A 12,782-nucleotide genomic window follows, 5' to 3' on the forward strand; every position below is an offset into this window, starting at 1 on the left:
GGTCTCGATCTCCTGACCTTGTGATCCGCCCACCTCGGCCTCCCAAAGTGCTGAGATTACAGGCGTGAGCCACCGCGCCCGGCCTTAAAGTTTACTTTTTAATTAAAAGTTTTAAATTGGAGAATATACAAAAAAAAAGCGCAGGTCACTATGAGAATATGTCCATATACCCAAAAGTACATACATGTTCTAAAGTACTTCTGAGGAAGCAACATCCAATCTGAGATGAAGTATGCATTCACCACTTCTAAAGTGTGAATGCATTTAGGAGTTGGGCAAAGGTGGGAAAAACACTCCAGAGAAAGAGAACAGTTGATGCAAAGCCCCCTACATGGGATGGAAGTTATTATTTATTTACTACTACTACTTACTATTGCCTGAAAGAAACCACTGTTTTTTTTCCCACGTATATAAAATCTAAGATGAAGTCATATATCCTAATTTCTTTCATTGGATCATAAGCTTTTTTCTATGTCATTAAATATTCTTCAAAAACCCCAAGAACTGGGCCAAGCATGGTGGCTTACACCTGTAATCCCAGCACTTTGGGAGGCCAATGTGGGAGAATCACTTGAAGTCAGGAGTTCAGGCCTAGCTTGGGCAACATAGCAACATCCCATCTCTATAAAAAATATTTTAAAATTAGCCAGGCTTGGTGGTACACACCTGTACTCCCAGCTACTCTGGAGGCTAAGGCAGAAGGATTACCTGAGCCAAGGAGTTTGAGGCTGCAGTGAGCTATGATCATGCCACTGCAGCCCAGCCTGAGCCAACACAGTGGGACCCCATCTCTAAAAAATAAAAATAAACCCTGATAAATGATTGCATAATTTATTTAACCACTTTTCTGTTTGGGGGCACTATCATGGCATTATGATTGGTTTAATAAGTGCCCTCATGTCCAAACGCAGTATATGTCCAGATCTTTTGGGGGCTGAATCTCTTAAGATTTGGGTGGTTGAATTAGTGGGAAGTGAAAGGAGAGTCTAGGCTTGGGTGACCACGGAGATGGAGGTGTTATTGATGACCACAGAAAATACTAAAGTAGGAGCAAGTTTAGATGGGGTAATGATGTGTTTCATTAGAGTATACTGAGTTTCAGGCAACCCCAGTACATCTAAATGAAGAACCCAAGAGTCAGTTAGATACATGTCGAGGATGCTGGCTTCAGGTCTGAGCTGGAAGTACAGGTTTGTGAGTCTTTAGCTTAGAAATAGTTAACTGGAACCTGAGGTTTAGATTTGGTTACCCAGGGAGAGCAGAGTGAGAAAAACAAAATCAAGAACAAAACCCTGAGAAGCACTGACATTGTTGAGGTCAAGGAAGAAAGTAAAAACTACAAAGGAGAAATGAGGGACCAGAACTGTAAAGGAAAACTGAACAGTGGTAACCAAAAACCAGTGAGGAAGAAATTTGAAAATGGAGTCCTAAATGTGAACTTATTAGACAAATTTACCAGGAACCTATTTTGTCTCATACATTATGTTAAACACAAGGGGGTGAACAAGACAAAACCTTTTGGTGCCTACTGTCTGGTGGGGAAGACATTGCTGTACATCACCAAAAAGGCCATATTTTTAATAACTATACCTTGCTTCTTTCTAAAAAGACATGTAGCTTACCCAAAAAAATCAGTATAATAGGTAAAATACAATTCAAAATAATTAAAATGGGAAATTTAGGGCAAAAAGAAAATAGAAACAAAAATGATGCACAAAAATACATGCTTGGTTGGATGCACTGGCTCACACCTCTGTAGTCCCAGCACTTTGGGAGGACAAGCTAGAAGGATTGCTTGAGCACAGGAGTTCAAGGTCAACCTGGGCAACATAGTGAGACCCCATCTCTACAAAAAATAAAAATAAATTAGCCAGGTGTGGTGGTGCATGCCTGTGGTCCCAGCTGAGCCTGAGGTGGAAGGATTGCTTGAGCATGGGAGGTTGAGGCTGCAGTGAGCCATGACCATGCCACTGCACTCCAGCCTAGGCAACACTGCACAACTGTCTCAAAATAAATAATTTAAAAAAACAAAAACAAAAACCATGCTCTAAGGTCCTGAACACTTGCTTTAAGCTTTGTAGCAGATGTTGTAACAAGGAAAAACAAAATCAGTTATAACAGGTTCAGTATGCCTAGGGTAACAAATATTTTGCCCACAGGAGGCATTACTACTCCAGGACTAAGACTAAAGATGAATTTCTCTCAGTTTCTCACAACGACAACATCATGTGAAGAGTATCCTTAACAGCATCTTTCTAGTAAATCCAACAGTTAATTTTATAGGACTCCTTATTACAACATCTCTCAGTCTAGGCTGAAAGCAATTCTGTGGGCTTGGAAGAGGTAAACAGCATATCCTAGGTAGGAAACTCTTATAGTCTGTGTGTGTGTGTATGTGTGTGTGTGTGTATGTGTGTGTTTCAAATTAGCATGACTTCAACCCTAAAAACCAGCATTTCTGCGTAAATTTCCTAACAAGGTTGTTCTCCTATGTTACTGGTTATCATACTCAAGAAACTTAACATTGATATATTACCTAATATCTAATACATATTCTATATTCAAATTTCCTAAACTGTTCCAATATTGTTCCTTAGATATTATCTTTTCCAATCCAGGGCCCAACCTAGGATCACACATTGCATTTAGTAGTCATGTTCTCTTAATCTTCATCTAGCCTTTTTCTGTCTATCATAACACTAATTTTTTAGAATCCAGGCAAGCTGGGTTTATAAAATATGCCTTTAAAAAAATTATCCTGGCTGGGCGCGGTGGCTCACGCCTGTAATCCCAGCACTTCGGGAGGCCGAGGTGGACGGATCACCTGAGGTCAGGAGTTCAAGAGCCGCCTCACCAACATGGCGAAACCCCGTCTCTACTAAAAATACAAAGAAAAAATTAGCTGGGCATGGTGGCAGGTGCCTGTAATCCCAGCTATGGGAGGCTGAGGCAGGAGAATCGCTTGAACCTGGGAGGCGGAGGTTGCAGTCAGCCGAGATCATGCCATTGCACTCCAACCTGGGTGACAAGAGCAAAACTCCATCTAAAAAAAAAAAAAAATCCTGAGGGCTGGGCACAGTGACTCACGCCTGTAAGCCCAGCACTTTGAGAGGCAGAGGCAGGTGGATCACTTGAGGTCAAGAGTTTGAGACCAGCCTGACCAACACGGTCAAACCCAGTCTCTACAAAAATACAAAAATTAGCTAGGTGGGGTGGCGTGCGCCTATAGTCACAGCTACTCAGGAGGCTGAGGCAGAAGAATCACTTGAACTGAGCCAAGATCATACCACTGCACTGCAGCCTGGGCAACAGAGTGAGACTCTGTCTCGAAAAAAAAAAAAATTATCTTGAGTAAACAGACAACCCATAGAGTGGGAGAAAATATTCGCAAACTACGCATCTGACAAAGAACTAATATCCACAATCTACAAGGAACTCAAACAAATCAGCATGAAAAAAAAATAATCCCAGCAATAAGTGGGCAAAGGACATGAAGAGACAATTCTCAAAAGAAGATATACAAACAGCTAACAAACATATGAAAAAATGCTCAACATCACTAATTAGCAGGGAAATGCAAATTAAAACTGCAATAACATACCACCTTACTCCTGCAAGAATGGCCATAATTAAAAAGTCAAAAAACAATAGATGTTGGCATGGATGTGGTGAAAAGGGAACACTTTTACATTGCTGGTGGAAATGTAAACTAGTACAACCACTGTGGAAAACAGTATGGAGATTCCTTAAAGAACTAAAAGTAGAACTACCATTTGATCCAGCAATCCCACTACTGGGTATCTACCCAAAGGAAAAGAGGTCATATGAGAAAGACACATGCACATGCATGTTTACAGCAGCACAATTCGCAGGTGCAAAGATATGGGACCAACCTAAGTACCTGTGAACTAACAAATGGATAAGGAAAATGTGGTATATGGGCACTATGGCTCACACCTGTAATCCCAGCACTTTGGGAGGCCGAGCCAGGCAGATCACCTGAGGTCAGGAGTTCTAGACCAGCCTGGCCAATATGGTGAAACACCGTCTCTACTAAAAATACAGAAATTAGCTGGACGTGGTGGCGGGCACCTGTAATCCCAGCTACTCGGGAGGCTGAAGCAAGAGAATTGCCTGAACCCAGGAAGTGGAGGTTGCAGTGAGCTGAGGTTGCGCCATTGCACCCCAGCCTGGGCGACAAGAGTGAAACTCTGTCTCAAGAAAAAAAAAAAAAGGAAAATGTGGTATATATACACCATGGAATATTATTCAGCCATAAAAAGGAATGAAATAATGTCTTTTGCAGCAACCTGGATGGAACTGGTATTCTAAGTGAAGTAACTCAGGAATGGAAAACCAAATGTCATATGTTCTCACTTATAAGTGGAAGCTAAGCTATAAGGATGCAATGGCATAAGAATGATATGGACTTTCGGAACTGGGATGTAAGTTTGGGAGGGACTGACGGATACAAGACTACATTTAGGTAAAATGTACACCGCTCGAGTGACTAGTGCACCAAAATCTCAGAAATCACTGCTAAAGAACTTATCCATGTAACCAAAAACCACCTGTACCCCAAAACTATTGAAATTTAAATATAAAAAGTTATCTTGCTTCTCTTCTCTTCATAGATTCAGATTCAACATTTTTGACAGGACTCTTACATAAATAATGTTGCATCCTTAGAAATTACACATTTTGGGCCTAGCACGTGGTGGCTCACGCCTGTAATCCCAGCACTTTGGGAGGCTGAGGCGGGTGGATCACTTGAGGTCAGGAGTTTGAGACCAGCCTAACCAACATGGTGAAACCCCGTCTCTACTAAAAATACAAAAATTAGCCAGGCATGGTGGCGTGCACCTGTAGTCCCAGCTACTCGGGAAGCTGAGGCAGGAGAATTGCCTGAACCTGAGAAGCAGAGGTTGCAGTTAGCAGAGATCACGCCACTGCACTCCAGCATGGGCGACAGAGAGACTCCATCTCAAAAAAAAAAAAAAAAGAAATTACACATTTTGAAAAGGAGAAAGAGAATGATGAATTACATCACCGAGTGCCAATTATGTTGTATATATTATATATAATACACATAATTATCATAATCCTATGATTAAGTGTGGCAGCCATGAAGATTGCTGTTCAGACCCCTCTTCCAGAAAGCACTTGCTGCGCAGCTGAGAGGAAGAGGGTTGGGTAACAACCTCTGTTAGCTCCATCAGGGTCAAGCTGAGTGTATTCTCCTTTCCAGGTAGCCACTAGTCAGTGACAGAACAAGGCCTAGTGACAGTACAAGGACCTAGTCATTTCTGCCCAATGCAGGGCTCCTCCAATGGGTAATCTTAGCTCCATATTGCCTTATGGAGACCTGGCAGAGAATTTGTCAGGTCTGCATCATTCTGGTTACTCCTCCTGCTCAATCCTGTTTCTCTCATTTCTTTCATCTGTGTTATTCCCCAACAAATCATATGCATGCATTAACACTATCTCAGTGTCTGCTTCCTGGAAAGCCCAAACTACAACATTCTCATTTAGCAAATGAAGAAAACTGGAAATCAGAGAACTTTAAATATTGTTCCAAATCATAGTTAATATAGCTACTAGGACTTGAATTTAAACAAATGGACTTCAGGGCCTCAAAAGTAATCACCTTCATATTATAAATCAAGACTCTTTTTTCTTTTTTTTTTTAGATGGAGTTTTGCTCTTGTTGCCCAGGCTGGAGTGCAGTGGCACGATCTTGGCTCACTGCAACCTCTGCCTCCCGGGTTCAAGCAATTCTCCTGCCTCAGCCTCCCAAGTAGCTGGGATTACAGGCGCATGCCACCACGCCAGCTAATTTTGTATTTTTAGTAGAGATGGGGTTTCACCATGTTGGTCAGGCTGGTCTCAAACTCCTGACCTCAAGTGATCCACCCACCTTGGCCTCCCAAACTGCTGGGATTACAGGCATGAGCCACCACACCTGGCCTATAAATCAATAGACTCTTAACACATATAGGCTCTCACTAGCCTTTGATTGCAATTTTCCTAATTCTCAGCTTATTTCCAGGAAAATCATCCTTAGAGAAACTATTTATTTTATCCCACATCTGTCAACACATAGATCAATTTTTAGCTATGAGTCTATGGTATTGCTAGACCTTTACTGAACATATTATGTATTTTGACAATTATAATGTAAAAAAAATTGGCCGGTCATGGTGGTTCACGCCTGTAATCCCAACACTTTGGGAGGCCAAGGCGGGTGGATTGCTTGAGTTCAGGAGATCGAAACCAGCCTGGGTGACATGGCAAAATGCTGCCTCTACAAAAAATACAAGAATTAGCTGGGTGTGGTGGCATATTCTTGTAGTTCCAGCTACTCAGGATGCTGAGGTGGGAGAATTGCTTGAGCCCAGGAGGTCGAGGTCGCATGTGAGCTGAGATTGCACCACTGCACTCCAGCCTGAGCGACAGAGTGAGACCCTGTCTCGAAAAAACTATTAAAAAAAAATATATATATATATATATATATATAAGCTCTTAGGGACCAGTATCTTTATCTTATTATATATCCCAATAACAGACACTACTGATATGACTGATACCACAACCAGTTTCAAAGGAATTCATTGGGGATTACATTATGGTAAATAATTTTCTGACTACTAGTCTCAATTTAAAATAGGCTCTTTATTATATAAAGCCATGAGTTGGAGTCCTGTATCTGCCACTTCTTTGCTGTATGACTTTGGGCAAACCATTTAACCTATATCATAGAGTTGTTAGGAGGATTAAATATAAGGAAATAACTTTAGTAAAATGACTGAAACATTCTAAGTTTCAATAAATAACAATCATTAAAATCAAATCTTTTTTGACTAACCACTAAATACTAGACAATACACTAAATTCTGGTGATTCACAAAAAATCAGTAACATTCAGACCTTGAGGAAGATCATATTTTACTATAGTAGAATCATATTTTACTATATATTTTTTAAAACTTCAAATAGATCTTAAATGGCTGCTTATTAAAATTCATTTCATTAAACATCAAAATTTTACTACACTGATTACCAGCCCAAGCAATAAAGTCAGACTTTACAAAAAATAAAACAAATTATCCAGGTGTGGTGGTGCACACCTGTGGTCTCAGGTACTCAGGAGGCTGAGGTGGGAGGATCGCTTGATCCCAGGAGATGGAGACTGCAGTGAGCTGTATTCAACGCCAGGCACTCCAGTCTGGGTGACAGAGCTCGAGAGACCCTGTCTAAAAAAAAAATAAAATAATAAATAAAAACCAACTTTACTAGACTGAATGACTTGTTTGCATACTTCTGATTAAGAAATAACAAGAGGCCGGGTGCAGTGATTCACACCTATAACCCCAGCTTTTTGGGAGGCCGAGGTGGCTGGATCACTTCAGCCCAGGAGTTTGAAACCAGCCTGAGCAAAATAGCAAAACCCCATCTCTACCAAAAAAAGAGATAAAAATTAGCCAGTCTCATAACCCAGTCTCAAAATAAATAAAAATTTTAAAATAAACTGGCTGGGCACAGTGGCTCACACCTGTAATCTCAACATTTTCGGAAGCCAAGGCAGGTGGATCACCTGAGGTCAGGAGTTTGAAACTAGCCCAGCCAACATGGTGAAACCCCATCTCTACTAAAAATACAAAAATTAGCTGGGTGTGGTGGCTCATACCTGTAATCCCAGCTACTTGGGAGGCTGAGGCAGGAGAATCACTTGAACCTGGGAGGCGGAGGTTGCAGTGAGCCAAGACTGTGACACTGCATTCCAGCCTGGGAAAGGGTGAGACTCTGTCTCAAAAGAATAGATAAATAAAATAAAATAGGAACAGCAAGAAGGTATTAATATTAACAAACTTTGCACCTTTTACCTTTAACATCTATCAAATAAATTCAACATTCAAGTTTTACATTTTAAAGACATTTTTATTGAGCTAATTTTAACAACATTGCTTTAGCTGGTGACAGCTGCCCCAAACCAAAACAAAGCCATCATGAATGCTATTCAACATCCTCAATGTAATCCAGTATGTTTTTGTACTTGGAATATAGTTAAACTTTTGACATTACATAATCAAGCAAATAGCAGTGCATACTATATTATTCAAAAAGACTTTATCTATTTCATTTAAAAAATCAAGTTGCAAGTGGCCTCAGCTTTATCAACAATCGTAGTGACACATTCCACACTTCATGCTCTCAAAATAAAAAGTGCCCTAAAACTAACTCTAAGTTTTTTAGTCACTGACATTAATACTAACCAGGTTACAGGAATTGAAGTTTAACATTGTACAATATAAGCGGCAATAAGTTACTGATATCTGCTGACAAATTCCACTCAAACTAAATATATCCTTGATACATTCAAAAAGACATTTTGTAAATTTTAATAAGCTAGTTAGTGTATATGCTGCAGTGCAAAAAAAGTGACACCCTAGTTTCCTGAGCTTTAGGAAATTAACAATTTTCTGACTACTACTTTCAACTTAAAATAGGCTCTTTATTATATGAAGCCATGACAAAACTATACAATTAAATTGGGCTTTTGGAGAACTGAAAGACTGGTCAGAGTCAGGGTGATTTAGGACAATGAAAAAGTTTTCAAAGCAAAAGTATTTACAACACTACAAAGGATACTATGGATCTGCATGTAGTGTAAAGATTAAAGATAACCTACTGATTTCACAATTGTCCCTCCTCTTTCAAAAATATTACACTGGGCCAGGCGCTGTGGCTCACACCTGTAATCCCAGCACTTTGGGAGGCCGAGGTGGGTGGATCACCTGAGGTCAGGAGTTTGAGACTAGCCTGGCCAACATGGTGAAACCCCATCTCTACTAAAATACAAAAATTAGCCGGGCATGGTGGCAGGTGCCTGTAATCCCAGCTACTCGAGAGGCTGAGGCAGGAGAATCGCTTGAACCCAGGAGGTGGAGGCTGCAGTGAGCTGAGGTAACACCACAGCACTCCAGCCTGGGTGACAAAGCAAGACTCTGTCTCAAAAAAAAATTACACTGAAAGACTTTATGGTAAGTATTTAAAACTAAATATACCAACCTGTGGTATATTACACATTTTAATATATTCTTCCATAATGCCCACTAAGAAGAAATAAATGGGATAAATGATGAAAAAAAATAAAGCAAATAAACACGCTTTTAGGAATGTTTTCGCATGTGTACATGTCAGGGCACATGAAAATGATTCCTCATTAGAACTCTCTACATCCTAAAAATTACAAAGACCGAGTTTCTACTTCAATTTTTTCTTCTGCTTGAAGTATATCTGGATCAACATGAACAACCGGAGGTCGCAGGATAACTTCAGGCCCTCCACCATAAATAGACTGCAGAAAATTCCATGTTTCTTCAGAAATCTGGCCAGAATCTGCTCCTTAAAATTACGTAGAAGAAATAATGTTTACAAACCTATATATTCATATTGCAAAAGCGTTCATAATGTACCCCCCAGCATGAATCTTCTCGGGATAATTGAGAACTTCTGGAACATGAATCTGCAGACTACCAGCCCATATTGTTATAAGCTGAAACATATGGCTTGTCTTAAAAAGTCAGAGATGCTTTTGCTTTGCTCTTAACAACAGCCTTAAGACCTTTCCTCAGATAAAAAAAAAGTGGCTGCTTTTCATTACTTGCCCTAGTTAATGTATGGATTACATTCTTCAGTTGAATAAAAAAGTACTATAGATGACTAATGATAACATATTTCTAACAGTGACAAATCACTCACAAGTAAAAGCTTAAATACGAGTCAAACTTACCTTGCCTAAGCATCACATTACCACATTTAGTGACTGCAATCTTAGTATTGTCAATAGGACCTGGAGGATCTAAAGGAAAAAATATCAAAATGTATTTTTCAAAGAAATGTAACAAAAAATTGCATAATTTTGTGCTTGACAAAATTGTGACCTATAACTACATTATCAGACTGGTTATTTCTCAGGCAAATTATTATAGTTAATTCTTTTTTTTTTTTTTTGAGATGGAGTCTCGCTCTGTTGCCCAGGCTGGAGTGCAGTGGCACCATCACAGCTCACTGCAACCTCCGCCTTGGGTTCAAGTGATTCTCCTGCCTCAGCCTCCTGAGTAGCTGGGAATACAGGCACACACCACCACGCCCGGCTAATTTTTGCTTTTTTTTTTTTTTTTAGTAGAGATGGGAGTTTCACCATGTTGGTCAGGCTGGTCTCGAACTCCTGACCTCACGATCTACCCACCTCAGCCTCCCAAAGTGCTGGGATTACAGGCGTGAGCCACTACACCTGGCCTATGGTTAATTCTTAATGTCTTCTCCTGAGCTTCTTCGTTTTTAGTTCTTAGTTCCCCCAAAACAGAACCAGGAAAGAAGGTAAGAGAGGCTCGTTCACAACCATCACAGTTTAACAGAAATGTTTTGTTTTTTTTTTTTTTTTTGAGACGGAGTCTCGCTCTGTTGCCAAGGGCTGGAGTGCAGTGGCATCATCTCGGCTCACTGCAAGCTCCGCCTCCCAGGTTCATGCCATTCTCCTGCCTCAGCCTCCCGAGTAGCTGGGACTACAGGCACCCACCACCACGCCCAGCTAATTTTTTGTATTTTTAGTAGAGATGGGGTTTCACCGTGTTAGCCAGGATGGTCTTGATCTCCTGACCTCGTGATCCACCCCCCTCGGCCTCCCAAAGTGCTGGGATGACAGGCATGAGCCACCACGCCCGGCCCAGAAATTATTTTTTAACTCTCCATTTGGGGATTACAAGTCAAAATGTACCACTAATGCTATAAAATAGCAATTCCTTTGTAATTTGAAAGAAATTATACAATTAATTTGCTTCAGATTATCAAAGTAACATTAAGAACAATAAAAGCATTATAAAAGAAACCGTTTAAATACATTCTTTTTAAAATTTAAGGCAAAAGTGAACCGCATGGTCATCATCAAAAGTTGTAAAAGCAACTTAAACAAATTTACAATTAAAAAAACCCAATTAGAAAGTGGACAAAGAACATGAACACTTCTCAAAAGAAGACATTTATGTGGCCAAAAAAACATGAAAAAAAGATCAACATCACTGATCATTAGAGAAACACAAATCAAAACCACAATGAGATACCATGTCACATCAGTCAGAATGCCAGTTATTAAAAAGTCAAGAAACAGGCTGGGCCCAGTGGCTTATGCCTGTAATCCCACCACTTTGGGAGGCCGAGGCAGGTGGCTCACTTGAGATCAGGAGTTTGAGACCAACCTGGCTAACATGGTGAAACCCCATCTCTACTAAAAATAGAAAAATTAGCCAGGCATGACAGCGGCACCTGTAATCCCAGCTACTCAGGACGCTGAGGCAGGACAATCGTCTGAACCCAGGAGGAGGTTGCAATGAGCTGAGATCACGCCACTCCACTCCAGCCTGAGTGACAAAGTGAGCCTCTTTTTCAAAAAAAAGAGAGAGTCAAGAAACAAGAGATGCTGGCGAGGCTGTGGAGAAATGGGAACACTTTTACACTGTTGGTGGGAATGTAAATTAGTTCAACCATTGTGGAAGACAGTGTGGCAATTCCTCAAAGACCTAGAACCAGAAATACCATTTGACCCAGCAATCCCATTACTGGGTATATATCCAAAAGAACACAATTCATTCTATTATAAAGATACATGCACACATATGTTCATGGCAGCACTATTCACAATAGCAAAGATAAGGAATCAACCCAAATGCCCATCTATGATAGACTGGATAAAGAAAATGTGGTAAATATACACTATGGAATACTACGCAGCCATAAAAAGGAAAGAGATCATGTCCTATGCAGGGACATGGATGGAGCTGGAAGCCATTATCCTCAGCAAACTAATGCAAGAACAGAAAACCAAACACTGCATGTTCTCACTTATAAGTGGGGGCTGAACAACAAGAACACAAGGACACAGGGAGGAGAACACACACTAGGGCCTGTTGGTGGGGGTTGAGGGATGAGGGGTGGGAGAACAACAGGAAAAACAGCTAATGCATGCTGGGCTTGATACCTAGGTAATGGGTTGATAGGTGGAGCAAATCGCCATGGCACATGTTTACCTATGTAACAAACCTGCACATCCTGCACATGTATGCTGGAACTTACAAAATAAAAATAAATTTTTTTAAAGGTGTAGAAAAGCCAGATATGGTGGTGTGCACCTATAGTCCCAGCTACTCAGGAGGCTGAAGCAAGAGGATCGCTGGAGCCCAGGAGTTTGAGGCCAGCCTGGACAATACAGAGAGAACTCAGTAATTCAGCACTTTGGGAGGCCAAGGTTGGTGCACTGCTTGAGCCCAGGAGTTCCTGGGCAACACTGTGAGACCATGTCTCTACAAATAATTGTAAAAAATAATTTTTAAATTAGCCAAGTGTGGTAGTACATGCCTGTAGTCCCAACTACTCAGGAGATGGAGGTAGGAGGATCGCATGGGCTGAGAGTTCAGGGCTGCAGTGAGCCATAATCATGCTGCTGTACTTAAACCTGGGCAACAGGGTTAAGACCTTGTCTCTATTAATTTAAAATTTTAAAAAGTAAATACATAAATACAAAAAGCTTTAACTAGGCATATTGTTGCAGCCTTTTTCACATATCAGAATCTTTTTTTTTTTTTTTTTTTTAAAGACAAAGTCTTGCTCTGTCACCCAGGCTGGAGTACAGTGGCATGATCTCAGTTCACTGCAGCCTCCGCCTCGTGGATTCAAGCAATTCTCCTGCCTCAGCCTCCTGAGTAGCTGGGATTACAGGTGACTGC

General features: G+C 40.7%; 1 protein-coding gene across 14 annotated transcripts in view; it reads right to left on the reverse strand.

The window, feature by feature from the left end:
- Nucleotides 1-7,917: 7,917 nt before the first annotated feature.
- USP33 (ubiquitin specific peptidase 33) overlaps nt 7,918-12,782 on the reverse strand; it is a 63,866-nt gene continuing 59,001 nt past the window's right edge. For all 14 annotated transcript variants that reach the window (NM_001377437.1, NM_001377436.1, NM_001377431.1 and 11 more), the window contains 2 exons: nt 9,794-9,862; nt 7,918-9,405 (listed from right to left, as the gene is read on the reverse strand). In NM_001377437.1, the coding sequence (NP_001364366.1) occupies nt 9,248-9,405; nt 9,794-9,862 (227 nt within the window). In that variant the 3' untranslated portion in view covers nt 7,918-9,247. The remainder of the gene's footprint in view (nt 9,406-9,793; nt 9,863-12,782) is intronic.

This window comes from Homo sapiens, chromosome 1 (genome assembly GCF_000001405.40).
Source record: "Homo sapiens chromosome 1, GRCh38.p14 Primary Assembly".
Classification (NCBI taxonomy): Eukaryota; Metazoa; Chordata; class Mammalia; order Primates; family Hominidae; genus Homo; species Homo sapiens.